This window comes from Homo sapiens, chromosome 6 (assembly GCF_000001405.40).
Source record: "Homo sapiens chromosome 6, GRCh38.p14 Primary Assembly".
Taxonomy (NCBI): domain Eukaryota; kingdom Metazoa; phylum Chordata; class Mammalia; order Primates; family Hominidae; genus Homo; species Homo sapiens.
The window spans coordinates 87,638,056-87,655,941 of record NC_000006.12 but is presented as its reverse complement, the minus strand read 5'-3'; the positions used below and the strand labels follow the sequence as shown (position 1 = coordinate 87,655,941).

At 39.4% G+C, this 17,886-nt stretch overlaps 1 protein-coding gene across 15 annotated transcripts in view, besides 1 other annotated feature; it reads right to left on the bottom strand.

The window, feature by feature from the left end:
• The window catches only part of ORC3 (origin recognition complex subunit 3), an 87,689-nt gene that overhangs the window by 21,882 nt on the left and 47,921 nt on the right, over positions 1-17,886 (bottom strand). For 13 of the 15 annotated variants that reach the window (XM_017010632.3, XM_017010633.3, XM_047418550.1 and 10 more), the window contains one exon: positions 2,693-2,826. In XM_017010632.3, the coding sequence (XP_016866121.1) occupies positions 2,693-2,826 (134 nt within the window). Of the gene's footprint in view, positions 1-2,692; positions 2,827-4,749; positions 4,770-12,130; positions 12,184-17,886 lie in introns of those variants that run through there. The other 2 variants (XM_047418552.1, XM_011535652.4) reach the window with 2 other exon arrangements.
• Positions 16,082-16,598: an enhancer, noted in NCBI's record as "H3K27ac-H3K4me1 hESC enhancer chr6:88349062-88349578 (GRCh37/hg19 assembly coordinates)". NCBI's record gives its function as "activates a minimal SCP1, AML or CMV promoter by ChIP-STARR-seq in primed H9 embryonic stem cells {active_cell/tissue: H9 hESC(primed)}" and the evidence as "EXISTENCE:reporter gene assay evidence [ECO:0000049][PMID:30033119]".

Sequence of the window (17,886 nt, the reverse complement as noted above, 5' to 3'; positions counted from 1 at the left end):
TTTAGCTACAGCTAATTTCTGGTTCAAAAAAGACATAACTAAAGGTTAAAATGTCTACTAGATTCTTTGTCCCATGTCATTAACATGTAGTTTGCTACATGTTAATAAACCTAATATGCCTTTGAAATATATCTAATATGGGCTGAATGAAGTGCCTCATTCCTATAATCCCAGCACTTTGGGAGGCCATGGTGTGAGGATCACTTGAGACAAGGAGTTCGAGACCAGGCTGGGAAACATAGTGAGACACTGTCTCTATTTAAAAAAAAAAAAAATAATAATAATAATTAGGCTGATGAGGGGGCTTATGCCTATAATCTCAACACTTTGGGAGGCTGAGGCAGGCAGATTGCTTGAACCCAAGAGTTCGAGACCAGCCTGAGCAACATGGAAAAACCCCATCCCTACAAAAATACAAAAAAATTAGCCAAGTGTGGTGGGACGTGCCTGTAGTCCCAGCTACTTGGGAGGCTAAGATGGGAGGATCACTTGAGCCTGGGAGGTATAGGCTGCAGTGAGCCTATCATGCTACTGCACTCCAGCCTGGACAACAGTGGGAGACTCTGTCTCCAAAAAAAAAAAAAAAAATTCAGCTGGATGTTGTGGCCCTTTTCTGTAGTCCTAGCTACTCAGGAGGTGGAGGCAGGAGGATTACTTGAGCCCAGGAGGTCTGAGGGAACTGTGAGCTATGACTGCACAACTGCACTTAAGCCTGGACAACACAGCAAGATCCTGTCTCAAAAAAAATCTGATATGACACTCTGTCCTACTTAACTCTTCCCAACTGTAATTTTAAACCCAAACTGTAATATGTAATAAATGTTAAGGAACACAGATAGCATATAGCCAAATATTTCTACTCATCCAACGTGGGGAGTTTTAGTTTCAGTTTATTATTAATAATGAGTCACTTTTGAAAATCAGGAAATAACAGACATTTCTTCAAGACAGTGGTTGTGCTTTAATTTGTAAAATTCTTTATTCTTTAGGCTACTAATCATCTTAATCTTCGACCTTCCCATTTCAAAAGCTGCATTCCTTTATTTAGCTCTAGCATATCACAGAATTTGTTTACTAGCTCATATTATATGAACTCTAATTAAAAATGTATCTAGATTACCTCGTTAATGGTGCCCAGCAAAAAAAGAAGAAAAAATTATATGTGCAGTTTATTTTTACAGCAATCTCCATAAGTCCCATTTTGTAAAAGACTGAAATTTACACAGTATTTACCTTCTATTTTTCTAAGCCTTTTACCCTATTTATGTACTTAAGGTTGGCCCCTTGCTGATCCAGTGATCACTATTAGGGCGTATTTATATCGTGAATTAGCGACAGAAAAACAATGAACTAGTGGTTAAGAGAGATGGGCTCTGGTCTGAGTGCTACCACTAGCTAGCTGTGTGATCTCAAACAAGCTGCCGTCTTCTCCTAGACTTTAGTTTCTGGTTATATAGCTGAACTCAATGATCTTAATGATACCAACATCCAGCCCTTAAAAGTTTTTGTGTTCTGAAGAGTGGTTGAGTTCATGCTGCAGTGGCAAGAGCAATGCCCACACATAACCTGAAAGAAAATCCCTTAGTGCCTGCTGATGACTTCCTCACTCTGGCTGCTCAGGCCACTCTAGTCAGGCAAACATTCTCTTTCATCTTCCATGACTGAGCACTCATCAGGTGCCTCACATTGTAGCTATGGAGAGATATGGGAAGATTTTTGCAAAAGCAGTTTCCTAAAGCCAAAAGATTTTTAAGACAAAGAAGCACTTGCCAAACATAAAAAAGGATTAAAACAGACATTTTAAATAAGATATTTTCAACATGTCATGTCCAATTCTATGTGATTATATATGAAAAAACTACCTGTTCCCCCAAAACTCCATTAAAAAATTGCCCTAAATTTGGGAAAAGTAAAACGTACACACCAATATATTTTATTGTTGTTATTGTTCTACTAAAAGAATACCATACTTTGGTGCTAGAAACAGAGCAAGAGAAGAGCCCATGAAAAGCTAGTATTTAGGGAACAGAACATGGCTACCTATATACAATCAGACACCCTAAGCATTCAGGATATATAAATGATCATGTGGAGGTCAAGCAAAAGAGAGAAACTGTAACCCTCCAACAGTGAAGAGTGCCAGGCTGCTTCAGTTAATTTAGGACTGAAAGATTCCAGCTTTTGTAAATCCGATTAAAGTAAGCCTCATGCAGATTTTGGTAATCAACATACCAATGAGCCTCACTGCTGTGAAAGCAGTTCATAGCTATTAATTTTTCAAGCTTACAGATGATTTATGCAGTGCTTTGGAAATCTATAAAGAACTTGATGAAATGCTTAAGAAAAAACCTCTAAAAAGAGTTCTTAATTATGACACCCTGCTACTCTTTCCAATCTTTTTGATTTCTTTTTGTTGACTTTTTAAAGACAAATCCCCCAAACTGTCGATCTGGAGAAAGATTTTCTTTTTCTGCCCATTTGATGCTCTCCATTGTTTAAACCAAATCTAGAAGAGAAACATTTGGCCTATTTGTGATTGTTAAAATGTGATACTATGAGGCTTGGCATACTGACTGATCATGAACTACTTTATCTCTTTATCTCTAAGCACATCAGAAGGTGGGGTTTTCCATGCCATTTTAGTTAAATGACTGTCATGGCCAATAGAATTGGAAGGATATTACACTCTTACCATCGAGGCTCTGAAACTGGGCCAGGAACTCCTCTATTCTCTTAGCTGTGCTGCCAAGGTGGTTTTCACAATAAGACTTAAAAACCTTGAAACATTTCTCAAGTATGGTCATCAGTTCATCCTTTGCCAACATCCTAGAACAGAGTCAGTGACAGGAAATGTAATATAACTAGAAAATTAACACTTAAAAAACATTTTATTTAATATACATATTAAATGTTTCCGCTCAGAAGATAAAAGAAATTCTTCATTAGTAGCTACCAACATTTTTTGGAGAGATTTTCCTCCATATATGTGACATTCAGAAGAATTCTTGAAGGGTTCTCATGATAAAGTTTAGCTTAGAAAATTTACAAAGGTCTGGATTCATAGTGTGGCTCTAACATGATGTTTGTAATAAAGAATAAGGTTATTATACATCTCTGATCCTTGGTTCGTTGTCTGTAAAATGGAAATAATAACTTGCTTATTTCACAGGTTAGATGGAGACTTAAAAATTAAATGAGAAGAAGCAGTGGAAGACTCTAGCACAGTGCTTACCACACAGTAGGCATTTAATGATAGTTTTCCTTTCTTTTGATCTAAACGTACATATGAAATAAGAAATGTCTACAGAAGATATGACGTGCTAAATGTAAACTTGTTTGAAAGAACCAAAATAGTACACTCATTTCTCTAATTATCACCATTTAAACTATGCTTTACATCTCCTATGGGCTTTATAAACATCAGTCAGTAAACCCACTGAACTTTAAATGAAGTAGGCAGATCTAATTGTTATTTATAGCACAGGCAGAGTGGTTGAGTAGCTCATTCACAGCTATAGAAGAAATCTTTGTTAGAAATGGAGAGAAAATACAGATATTCTAAAGTTAGGATCTTGTTCTTGGAGTTTACAGGATTTCTCCACTAAGATCATACTCAGTAATGGCATCAAAAGGAATCAGACCAATATTAGGAATTTTTAAGCAGTGGCATTACACAAATATTCAAATTATTCTCAGCAAATGCATCTAAGTCATTAAAACTATGATGATTAAAAGTTCTAATATTTCCAGGCACGGTGGCTCACACCTGTAATCCCAGCACTTTGGGAGGCCGAGGCGGGTGGACCACGAGGTCAGGAGATCAAGACCATCCTGGCTACCACGGTGAAACCTCGTCTCTACTAAAATTATAAAAAATTAGCCGGGTGTAGTGGTGGGCGCCTGTAGTCCCAGCTACTCGGGAGGCTGAGGCAGGAGAATCGCTGGAACCGGGGAGTCGGAGGTTGCAGCGAGCTGAGATCACGACACTGCACTCCAGCCTGGGCAACAGAGTGAGACTCAGTCTCAAAAAAAAAAAAAAAGTTCTAATATTAACCATGAAGTAACAGACAAATCCAGAATGTGGGCATTTTGTAATACAACTAATTCACTTATATTTGACATCTTTCATAATAAAAAAATGAGGAGAAATACTAATATTGCTAACTTGGGAGAAAGAAACAAAGCTAAGTAGACTATGATTACTGAGAAATTGAACTGGTTACTTGAACTAAAATTTAAACCCCAACAACAACAACAAAAAGTAGACAACCACTAAATATGGCAATTGTTAAGGGTAGACCAAATAGTAAATTTCCACAGGGTTTTTTTAAAAGTATAAAACTTTATCTTCCTCTTTCTACAATAATTATCTAAGATATAATCTTTATCTGTGAAAGGCAGCTAACTGGTCAAGGAAAAATAAGCCAAGACATTTCATACTTGATTACAGTTGAGATTTAAAATTTGTGGCTTTCTATTGCCCAGATAGAGTTATGAGAAGAAAGTTAACTCAAAGTCAGATACACTTGAACAATCTGTTAAACCTGACCTTTAGGCCTATTCAAATAGACAAGATTAGCATTTCTGGTGTCCAAGGAATCACCGGCACTGACTTGCTTGGAGGGGAAAGACGGGTGAGGTTCTGCTGGCAGAAGATCTAACCCAAGTTAGCAGCATGTGAAGGATTAGCTTCCCAGGATAGGGGCAGCAACAGCTCTTGTCCACTTTGAGCTCCAAATAACTGAATATCAAGGAAGGCCAAACCTAGCCTATTATCCAGGAGACCAAAAAAGAGGGCATTATTTCATATAACTTTGGAAGCAAACTTCATTAGTCATAACTCTTAATGTGTCACTTGGAGAAGGTACTCAGATGTAAACTGCCAGGGATTCAAATAGTTATTAGTCCTCTTATTCTTTTTTTGTTTTTTCTTTGAGACGCAGTTTTGCTCTTGTTGCTCAGGCTAGGGTGCAATGGCGTGATCTCGGCTCACCGCAACCTCTGCCTCCCAGGTCCAAGCGATTCTCCTGCCTCAACCTCCCGAGTAGCTGTGATTACAGGCATGCACCACCATGCCCGGCTAATTTTGTATTTTTAGTAGAGGCAGGGTTTCACCATATTGGTCAGGCTAGTCTCGAACTCCTGACCTCAGGTGATCCGCCCACCTCGGCTTCCCAAAGTGCTGGGATTATAGGCGTGAGCCACTGCACCCAGTCTAGTCCTCTTATTCTTAGCCAAAGATTATGTTTTGCTCCCAGAGCAGAAAGATCTTACACTTTCTCAAGTATTCTCTTGTTTAATGTAAAATGACAAGACTTGAGATAAGGCTGATTAGAAATAATAACTTAACCAACCCCAATAAAGTCATTATTTAAAATTTTTTTTCCAGTAAAATTATACACACACAGAATCAATGCTGCCTGCTATCATCACTATTATTCAGCATCATTCTGGAGTCTAGATGCTACAATAAATTAAGAAAAAGAAATGGTATAAATGTTAAGAAGGAGGATGAAATTAATCATTTCATATGATGTGACTGTAAAGTTAGAAAATCTAAGAACTGCAAATAAAAGAGAGTGTAAAAGAGCTGGGCGTGGTGGCTCATGCCTGTAATCCCAGCAGTTTGGGAGGCCGATGGGAAGACCACTTGAGCCCAGATGTTTGAGACCAGCCTGGCCAACAAAGTGAGACCCTCATTCCTACAAAAAATAGAAAAAATTAGCTCAGCCTGGTGGCGCACACTTGTAGTCCCAGCTACTGAGGCTGAAGTATGAAGACTGCTTGAGCCTGGGAGGTCAAGGCTGCAGTGAGCCGTGATCATGCCATTGCACTCCAGCATGGGTAACAGAGACCCTCTCTCAAAAAAAAAAAAAAAAAGAGAGTGTAAAAAAGTAAGTGAATAAAAAATATATATGCATGCATATATACATATCCATATAATGTAATCAATATCTTATATTAAACTACATAATGAAAAAAAAGCCCATGTTCAAAATGGTAACAAAACCTACTAAATACACAGCAATACACATTATAATATATGTGTATGACCTATATTAAAAAAGCCCTGAATAAATGAATAGACATTTTAACACTCACTATTGTAAAGATACAAATCTTTCCAAATTAATCGATATTCTTAACAGTTTGAAACAAAATTACAGAGGGTAAATTTTATTTTTATTTTTATTTGAGATGGAGTTTGGCTCTTGTTGCCCAGGCTGGAGTGCAATGGTGCAATCTCAGCTCACCGCAACCTCTGCCTCCTGGGTTCAGGCGATTCTCCTGTCTCAGCCTCCTGAGTAGCTGGAATTACAGGCATGCACTGCCACGCCGGCTAATTTTGTATTTTTAGTAGAGACAGGGTTTCTCCATGCTGGTCAGGCTGGTCTCGAACTCCTAACCTCAGGTGATCTGCCCGCCTCGGCCTCTCAAAGTGCTGGGATTACAGGTGTGAGCCATGGCGCCTGGCCGTAAATTTTAAAAACTAAAAATTATTCTGAAATGTATCTGGAATAATTGTTCTAAAAAACAGGAACAATGTGTGTACACTTGAGTGTGTATGGTAGGGCTGTAAATACATTAAACAGTGTTAAGCTATGATGATTAAAATTGATGGTACTTGGGAATAGACAGGTCAACAGAAGAGAATGAGTTCAGAAAGAGATCTAGGTGTACATGGGTGTTTGTTATGTCACAGGGATAGCATTTCAAATCAGTGAGGGAAAAGATACTGGGTATCAGAATTAACTATTTTAAAAAAACAGGTCACTATCTCACCTTATACACAAAAATGCATTTCAGATAGAATAAAAATGTAAGTACGGTCTGGGAGCAGGGAAAAAGAACTAGCTCATCAACCATAAAATACTAGAAGAAAACCAAGAAAGATATTTAAGCCTGATAATATCCAGCAGCAGCAAAAGTGTAGGGAAATACACACTGGTACATGGTTGGTGTGAGTGTACACTGTACAACAATGTTTATATTTTAGACTCAATATGTTTACATCTACCTTTGTTTTGTGGAAATAGTTATACAAATACACAGACTTACCACTGCTCATGATTATTGTTTGTAATAGTGAAGAATTAGAAACAATCTAAATATGTATCAAAAAAGGGTCTGATTAAATAAAAAGCACTTTAAAAACATGATATTATATAGTGATGAGAAACAATGAGGTAGGGCAATATGTAATACTAATGATGACAGCTAACATTTATACCCACATATGTGTATCAAGTGTCATTTGATACAATACAATGTAAATACTATTATTATTCCCATGTTAGAGATGAGAAAACAAAGGCACAGAGAACTTAAGTAAACTTGTCCAGAATCCAATAGCTGGTAATTGGCAAAGCTGGGGTTTGAACCTAGACAGTTCAGCTTGACATCCATGCTCTTACTGAGCATGCTATATTGCATCTCAAAACATGGCATCTGTGGTAGAATATTAGGCACAAACCAAAATAACCACCACAACAAAAACAAAACAAACACAAAAAAACAAAAAATGCAAGTGTGGAACACCATATATAGTATTATTTAATATACATTTGTGTGTGGAAAAATATCTGAAGTGCAAATAGCTAACAGTGGATGACTGGTTTTCGAGGTTATATAATACAAGGGGTAATATCAGAAAAATACTTATTTTTTCACTTAGATTATTAGAATGACTATAGCAAGCACTTTTTTTTTGGTTTTGTTTTGTTTTGTTTTGTTTTGTTTTTGAGGCAGAGTCTTGCTCTGTTGCCAGGCTGGAGTGCAGTGAGGCAGTCTCTGCTCACTACAACCTCTGCCTCCTGGGTTCAGGCAATTCTCATCCTTTAGCCTCCAGAGTAGCTGGGACTACAGGCGCATGCCACCATGCCTGGCTAATTTTTTGTATTTTTAGTAGACAGGCGGTTTTACCATATTGGCCAGGCTGGTCTTGAACTCCTGGCCTCAAGTGATCTGCCTGCCTCGGCCTCCCAAAGTGCTGGGATTACAGGCATGAGCCACTGCGGCCATCAAAGCACTTTGGATAAACCAAACCTAACTGAAGAAGATCACTTGAAAACAACTACAAAATATTTAGCTTATTCCAAAAAAGTGTGTTTATATATAGCACCTCAAATAAAAAATTAAGGATTGAGTCTAGCTATCAGACAAGCATTTTTCAAACTGGGTTTCAACTCCTTTGTCAGTCATGAACCAATCATTCAAGAGATATTTATTGAATGCACACTACATACTAGTCACTGTTCTGGGCATTTGAGGTACACCTTATTGAATCAAAAATCACTGTCCTCACGGAACTTACATTCTAGTGGGAGAGCTGGGAGAAGCACAGACATGCACTATCTATCTATATCATATATACGATATATGCGTTAAAAATTGATAAATGTTATGGAAAAATATTGAACAGAATAAGCGGAGAGCCATGGGAGGAGGAAGCTTTCAATTTTTAAATGGTTAGGGCCTCACTGAAAAGATGACATTTGATCAAGTACATAAAGGAGGAAAGGAAGTTAGCCATACAAATATCCAGAAGAGCTTTTCCTGGCAGACAGAACAATGGGTGCAAAGGTTCCATAGTGGGCATATCTGGAATATTCAAGAAAACAAGGAGGCCAAGATGTCTGAAATGGAGAGAGAAAATGAGCAGTAATCAGAGAGAGGCCATGTGGGGAGAGGAGGGGGGCAGTCACATAGTGTCACTGTATACGGCTTTTACTCTGAGTGAAATGCGGAGTTAACGGAGGGTTTTGAGCAAAGGAGTAACATTATCTGAAATATTTTAAAAGGACTATTCTGACTGCTACTTTGAGAAGAACCTGTAGGGGAGCAGAAAAACCAGAAAGGAGGCTACTGCAATAATACAGGTGAGCAACGACGATGACTTAGACTATGATGGTACAAGTGAAGGAAGGTGGCAAGAAGAGGTCTGATTCTGGATAAATTATGAAGGCAGAGCCCAGGCTTCTGGTTTGAAAAATCAGAATGATAAGAGACAGTAGGAAAATGATAGATTTCAGGGGAAGATCAGGAGTTCAGTTTTGGGTAGGTTAACTTTGAGGTGTGTATTGGATATCTAAGTGGAGGTATTAAATAGGACATAAATGGACATAACAGCCTGGCACTCAGGAGAGAGGTATAGGCTTACGATTAAGCCCTGGGGCACTGTAATGTTAAGATGTCAGAGAGAAGAGAAAGCACTAAAGGAGAATGTAAAGGAGCATATACTGAGGTAGGAGAAAAACCAAGAAAGTCCTAGAAATCCATTAAGAAGGGAGTGATGAACTGTAGTCAAATGCTGATAACAGGTTAATGCTAGATTTAGGAACATGGAGGTCACTGGTGACTTTGATCAAACTAGTTGTGATCTGGAGCACAAGCCTAATTGTAATCAGTTAAAGAGAATGGGAGAAGAATTAGAGACAGTGAGACAATGCTTTCCAATTTTGGTACATTCCAACTAACATTTTGTTTTAAAATAAAGAGAATAAAATTGTAAAGAAAATAGCAGAACTAAAAAGTTTGAAAGCCACCATGTGAGATTAAAGAGAAATAAAAAAAATGTCTAAGATAGGTCACATTAATGCCACAAAAGAGCGATTTATCTTTATCCCACTTAATTAAGAAATAATTACTTCACAATTGGCAGAGCACGGTAGCTCACGCCTGTAATCCCAGCACTTTGGGAGGCCGAGGCGGGCGGATCATGAGGTCAGGAGATCGAGACCATCCTGGCTAACACAGTGAAACCCCATCTCTACTAAAAATAGAAAAAATTAGCCGGGCTTGGTGGCAGGCGCCTGTAGTCCCGGCTACTCAGGAGGCTAAGGCAGGAGAATGGCGTGAACCTGGGAGGTGGAGCGTGCAGTGAGCTGAGATCATGCCACTGCACTCCAGCCTGGGCAACAGCGCAAGACTCCGCCTCAAAAAAAAAGAAAAAAAAAAGAAAAAAAAAGAAAAAATTATTTCACTATCAGGTAAATGGTCCAAAAAATGCCTGTGATACCTAATGTATTAAAAGCTTTATAGGTAATCTGTCACAGGAGTTGAGAAAAACAATAAAGGCTTTATAGATTGTCATTTTTTAAAAAAGTTTTCTTAACTAAGAAAGAGAATCATTAAGCAATCATTAAAAGCAATCATCCTGCAGGGCAATGGAGTATTCTGCTTCATCATACAGAAAGCCAATAATTTCTGGTTAAGTACTAATTATATAAATGTCTGATTATAAGAACTGGCTACAAGGAAAAACTGGCCAATCCATGGCTAATGAAAACATCTTTTGCCTGACGAGTTTTCAAATTCTAAACAAACATTACCATTACCAGCTAGTTTTGAAAAATACTCAGAACTCAAACTTGCAAATGTATATATATCAATGAAGGCTGGAAGTTAAGGAAACAAAACAAAACAAAAAAGCATGTAAAAATAATAAAAAGCATGTAAAAAAATTAAGAAGCATGTAAAAATAAGAAATTGTCTTATTCAAAGACTAACACAACAAAGCAATTATGTAGGATGATAACAATGAAACAGAAACCAAAAGTATGTGTATCGCCTCCTAAGCCTTGATATTTCATATTAGGTGCCCCTTCCTAGAGAAGCTGCCAACCCCACAAATGGAGGTTAACTGTCCAGTCTACTGGTTCCTCAGCACCCTAGCCCTGACCCATCACAGCTCTTACTACTCTGAATTGTAGCTCTCTACTGTTCATGTCAATGATTTGACCAAAATTCTGTATAGGTAAGGACCAGGGTTATCTTTGTCATCTGATCAGTGGTTTCAAAAATGAAGCATTTAAAAAACCCCTTTTTTTTTTAATGGATGGGCAAAGCAATAACCATGCAATAATTAATAATTTCCTAACCTAATGCCTTAGTGAAGAATACTTTTTCTAAAGAGAACAGTTCTCAAACTGGTTCATCCTGGGAAGCACCTGGAAGTCATGATGCCCTTTGTGGGATGCCATGCTTTTTTGTGGAATACATCAAAAAGAATAAATTTAATTCATCACATGGTTAGAAGCAACTTGAGTAAGTTCAAATATACACATACTTTATTGATGCAATTTTTTTTTTTTTGGATGGAGTCTCGCTTTGTCACCCAGCCTAGAGTGCACTGGCACAATCTCAACTCACTGCAACCTCCACCTCCCAGGTTCAAGTGATTCTCCCACCTCAGTCTCCAGAGTAGCTGGAATTATAGGCACACGCCACCACGCCAGGCTAATTTTTGTATTTTTAGTAGAGACGGGGTTTCGCCATGTTAGCCAGGCTGGCTAACTCCTGCAACCTCCACCTCCCGAGTTCAAGCAATTCTCCTGCCTCAGCCTCCCTCGTAGCTGGGACTATAGGCGTGTGCCACCACGCCCGGCTAATTTTTGTATTTTTAGTACAGACAGGGTTTCACTATGTTGGCCAGGCTGGTCTCCTGAACTCAGGTGATCCTCCTGCCTCAGCCTCCCAAAGTGCTGGGATTATAGGCATGAGCCACCATGCCTGGCCTATTGATGTAATTTTTAAAAGTACAGTCAGCCGGCCGGGCGCGGTGGCTCTACGCCTGTAATCCCAGCACTTTGGGAGGCCGAGGCAGGCAGATCACGAGGTCAGGAGATCGAGACTATCCCGGCTAAAACGGTGAAACCCCGTCTCTACTAAAAATACAAAAAATTAGCCGGGCGTAGTGGCGGGCGCCTGTAGTCCCAGCTACTTGGGAGGCTGAGGCAGGAGAATGGCGTGAACCCGGGAGGCGGAGCTTGCAGTGAGCCGAGATCCCGCCACTGCACTCCAGCCTGGGCGACAGAGCGAGACTCCGTCTCAAAAAAAAAAAAAAAAAAAAAAAAAAAAAAAGGACAGTCAGCCATCTGTATCTGTGGGTCCCACATTGGTGGATTCAATCAACCTTGGATTGAAAATATTTTGGGGGGTAGGAGAAGAGACCGTATAGAACACGTACAGACTTTTTTCTTGTCATTATTTTCTAAACAATACAATGTAACAACTATTTACATAGCATTTATATTGTATTAAGTAAAAAGTAGACATGATTTAAAATATATGGGAGGATGTGCACAGCTTATATGCAAACACTATATACCATTTCATATATGGAACTTACGGTGTCCTCTTAAAACCAATCCCCCACAGACAGTGATGGATGACTGTATAACCCTGAGTTCACAAGAAAGAAAGAAAAGAGTTGTCAAAATTTGATGAGTTATTTCTGAGTTTTTAAAATTAATGTTTCTTAGTTATCTGTTCATTTTGCTAACAGAAAAGTGACAGTAGGCAGTAAATGTTTAATAAAGAAAAACAAAATACAAATTCAGATCTTTTTTTCTGTTTACTGTGATAAAAACCATTAGCTCACTATTAGCGGAATACCGCAGTCCAGTTTTCGAGCCAATTTGAGATCAACTGCCTACAGCCATTCAGCTTCTCCACAAATAAAGACTTTTCCTTTGATGGCTTCATTGTTTTCCTCAAAAGTTTCCCCCTCCCCGCTTTTTTTTTTTTTAACCTCTCCCTTTATTTTCTGGAAGTATTTGTCAAAGTATAGTTCCTGGGTCATCTGTCTGAATGTGCCAGAGTGCTTGTTAAATGCAAATTCCTGCTGAAACACCATACCAGCGTTCCCAACAGAAGCTCTGGGGAAAGAGCTGAAATGATCAATATCTCAGCTAATTCTCTGACCTCCTGATCAGCCCGCCTCCCAAAGTGCTGGGATTACAGGCGTGAGCCACCTCGCTAGGCCATATCTCAGCTAATTCTTATGCACATTGAAGCCTGGAAACCATTACACAAAAAAACAGTGACTCTCAATATCTTTTGTTTCAAAGAGAGCTTTAACAATTCTGTCCCAAGCCTGATTTCATCATCTGTAAGCCTACAGATAATTGTGAAGGCCCTAATGTGATGCAAATTCAGGATTGGCAATTCCTTTTCTAAAATAAAGAAATTATATTATTTTATTTATTTCTATTTTTATTTTTCATTTTATTTTTATTTTTTATTTATTTATCTTTTTTGAGACAGAGTTTTGCTCTGTCGCCCAGGCTGGAGTGCAGTGGTGCGATCTCGGCTCACTGCAAGCTCCACCTCCTGGGTTCACGCCATTCTCCTGCCTCAGACTCCTGAGTAGCTGGGACTACAGGCGTCTGCCACCACACCCGGCTAATTTTTTGTATTTTTAGTAGAGACAGGGTTTCACCGTGTTAGCCAGGATGGTCTCAATCTCCTGACCTCGTGATCCATCCGCCTCGGCCTCCCAAAGTGCTGGGATTACAGGCGTGAGCCACCACACCCGGCCATTTATTTCTTTATTTTTCATTTTATTTATTTATTTTTGGGACGGAGTCTTGCTCTGTTGTCCAGGCTGGAGTGCAGTGGTGTGATCTTGGTTCACTGCAACCTCTGCCTCCCGGATTCAATTGATTCTCCTGCCTCAGCCTCCTGAGTAGCTGGGATTACAGGCATGTGCCACACTAATTTTTGTATTTTTAGTAGAGACGGGGTTTCACCACGTTGGCCAGGCTGGTCTCGAACTCCTGACCTCAGGTGATCCACCCACCTCAGCCTCCCAAAGTACTTGAATTACAGGCGTCAGCCACTATGCTCGGCCTATTTATTAATTTTTTTGAGACAGGGTTTCACTCTGTTGCCCAAGCTGGAGTGCAGTGGTACAATCACAGCTCACGGCAGCCTCAACCTCCTGGGCTGAAGTGATCCTGCCTCAGCCTCCAAGTAGCTTGGGCTATAGGCATGCACCACCACGCTCATATACTTTTTGTATTTTTTGTAGAGATGGGGTTTCTCCATGTTGCCTAGGCCAGTCTTTAACTCCTGGGCTCAAGTGATCTCTCTGCCTTGACCTCCCAAGTGCTCTAATTCATAGGTGTGAGCCACCGTGCCTGCCAGAAATTATATTTTAATGATGCAGTCTTACAAAGCTCTTGGATGGATAAATCTACATCATCATAAGTTAGATTATTAGGAAGCTTATCATAGATTGTGGAGCTGTGTCATTTTTCCTAAGTAGATCTTTAAATATCACCTAAAGTTGATCTGCAAAGTCAGGAAATAATGCATTACTTAGAGTCCAAATTTCTAGTCTCTTTGAACTAAGCTGAAGTGATCAAATGTTAACATCATTATTCAGGTCATGTTTTTATTTTATTTTATTTTTTTACTCAATGAAAGCTGAGCTGACCTGCTAATATATTACTGTTTAAGTCAAAAGCCTTACTCAGAAATTAGAATAATTCCTTTAGCCTAAGGTAAATTCCTCCAGCTATCAATCACCTTCGATTTGTAAGTCTGTTTCTTTGCAAGCTCATAAGGTTACACTTAGGATAAGCAGACTAGACACTGTGGCTCCTTTCATTTATGTCTGTGTCCTGTGCCAATATGACTAGTGTCAGGATGGGGGAGGAGGGTATCTGAGTCCACAGAAGCTTGCTCTGCTGGTTTAAAATTTTGGATACACTCTGAACATGTAATACTGGCCACAAAACCATAAATTTCCTTTTATTACCACCTCTAAGTAACTGGAATAGGGTTGAAAGAGTTTCAGCTCTGTCAACTGTAGAAAAGTCAATGTTTCTGGCCTTGGTTTCCTCATTTGAAAGAAAATGGAATAACTGTAGATGAGTAATTCTCAATTGATGAGGTAGAGCACATAAATTCCCCTAAGAAGTGGGGCACACTTTTCATTATCCCCAATCCAAGAATCCACTGCTACTGGTATGAGAGTGTAGTACTCTTCAGATCTGGCTGATCCAACATACTCCTTTAAGTTGAGGCTCTGATTTTTTTTTTTTTTGAGATGGAGTCTCACTTGGTTGCCCAGGCTGGAGTGCAATGGCAAGGTCTCGGCTCACTGCAACCTCTGCCTCCCAGTTTCAAGTGATTCTCCTGCCTCAGCCTCCCGAGTAGCTGGGATTAGAGGTGCTTGCCACCACGCCTGGCTAATTTTTTGTATTTTTAGTAGAGACGGGGTTTCACCATGTTGGTCAGGCTGGTCTCGAACTCCTCATCTCCTGATCTTGTGATCTGCCCCCACCTTGGCCTCCCAAAGCGTTGGGATTACAGGCATGAGCCACCACACCCAGCTGCCTCTGATTTACAATAACCCTTAAAACCTTATTTATGCAAGGTTCAGTGAATTTTAAAAATATGAAAAATTACTGGCCTAGCATTTGATTTCTAGATGGGTGTTCAGAAATTTTCTCCAATAGAGGGGTAAAATTTTCCTCTTACAGTCTTTCACATCTGATAAGGAAAAACAGTTGTACTTACCTAGCTCACTGCTGGGTTAGCATCATTTGTTACTACTTTCTGTTCCCAAATGGCTTTTTAATGGAAACATATCCTTATATAATGACACAGGGTTGAGTGAAAAATTAACCTACTCATATCCCATATAGGGATGTGGTCTTCATACTCCAAGAGTTGACTGAGCAAGGAAAGGCAGAACATATGCAGAACCACTGAGCTCATGTCAAATAATGGCATATATTATAAATGAACACTTGCATGCTCCCCACACACATGAATGTCTGTTGCATACATTTAAAAAATAACTGTGATATAAAATTATATAGGTCTTTTTCCACTAATAAATATGTGACATAAACATTCTCCCACATTATTACAAAGTCACTGTAAATATGTTTTAAATGGTCACCAGATATTTCTTCAAGTAGATGACATATTGTTTGTTTTATTTTCCAGGTTTCAACAGTTTTATTGGGAGGTTTTGTTTTCTGTGAAATACACTAGAGGCTGGCTGAAGAAGGGGACACATTCCCTTTACAAGATAAGGGTTTCCCACCACTAAAGAAAAGGCATGAGGCGTGACACACTGGGGTTTGAATCCGCCTCCTTCTGCTTTGCTCACATTTCTTTTTTTCTCTTTCTTTTATATGTATATTTTTGAGACGAAATCTCACTGTCACCCAGGCTGGAGTGAAGTGGTGCGATCTCAGCTCAGGGCAACCTTTGCCTCCCAAGCTCAAGTGATCCTCCCACCTCAGCCTCCAAGGATGGGACCACAGATGTGCACCACCATGCCAGGCTAATTTTTTTTTTTTTTTTTTTTTTTTTGTATTTTTGGCAGAGAGGGGGTTTCACCATGTTACCCAGGCTGGTCTCAAACTCTTGAGCTCAAGTGATCCGCCCACCTTGGCCTCCCAAAGTGCTGGGATTACAGGCGTAAGCCACTGTGCCTGGCCTCTTCTTTCTCAAAAAGTATCACAGAACACAAACACAAAGCCAAGAGATAAAAACAGCAACATCAACCTCCAACAGGGCCACACCCACACCTTGTCCCACTCCCCAGGCTGGGTCAGGCCTGGGAGGGGCTGGGGCAGCTACTTACTCTACAGTCCCCAGGCTGCAGAAGGCTGCAGGCTCAGAAGGGGTGGGACTAAATTAATAAATTAGAATAAATTGGGGGGAGGAATGCAACTTTGTGCTGGGAGGGCCCCTTCTCTCTAACACGCAAGAGAGTTGTTGGGGGAAGGTAGGAGGCATCGCCAAAGGCCACTATGGTGGGGGTAAGAGCAGCGGAGGCAGAAGTCACCTTTTCTTCCATGTTCTTCCCAAACAAAGCAGAAGAATTAGGGGTAGAGGGATGTCTACAGCCATACTAACCTGAATGGGCTGGATCTCATCTGATCTGTGGTTATTTAAACATGTCAGCTTCCACATACAGATTGAGTATCCCTTATCTGAAATGCTTGGGACCAGAAGTGTTCTGCATTTTGGATTTTTTCAGATTTTGGAATATTTGCCATATGTGCATAATGAGATTATCTTGAGAATGGGATGCATGTCTAAACACAAAATTCATTTATGTTTCAAATACACCTTCTACACACAGCTTGAAAGTAATTTCATAGAATAATTTAAATAATTTTCTGCATGAAACAAGGTACACTGAATCATCAGAAAGCAAAGGTGTCACTATCTCGGCCAACTAGATGGACAATCAATCTGTAGTTGCTTGGTATCCCCATCATTACTGACTCTTGAATTTATATGCAACCATTTTCTTACACTTATTCACATATAAGTACTTAACACTTAAAAAACAGGACACACCATTGGTACAGTGAAAAAATAATGTGTTAAGTGTAACTAAGTAATACCCATATCAGTGTTAAACAACAGCAACAAACAATGGCAAGCTGAATAAACTGTGGTGTGCCTCTGTTTTGCTGCAACCCATTTCATGAGGTCAGGTGTGGAATTTTCCATTTGTGGTATCACAAGTGCTCATAAAGTTTTGAAATTTGAAGTGTTTCAAATTTTAGAGGACTTTGAATTTCAGATTTTCAGATTAGAGATGCTCAATCTGTAAAAAGCATTTTTTCTTGAAAAATAATTTAAGCTGATTCTTATAAAAAATTTCAAATAAGAAATTTAATTAGATTATGTTTCTAATAGTACCTTAAGCAGTTATTCTTTCCAAAGCATCATTCAGGGGTCATTTTAGTCTTTTCTCTCATGAGTTAAATAAAATTTCAAGACAGGTGATGAGAATGGTCTCAAGTTCAGGTGATGCCTATTGAGAATGCCTTAACTAAAAAGCGTCCCTGACTTCTGCTCTACATCAAATCTGTACAAAGGAGAAAAGGCTGATTCCAGCCCAGAGGTTCCCCAATTCCTTTCCTCTTTTATAGAACCCAGACTCCTGCCTGTCCTTGCTGTAGGTATTATATTTGACCCATAGTGCTTTTTACATTGCTTTGCTCTTGACTGCCCATGTTTCTGACCTCAGCTTAGCAAAATGAAATCTCATTTTCTATTTTTTGCTTCTGCTGTACTCAGATCTCCAAATCCATATTTTAGATCTTGGCCAAGAAAAGCAGA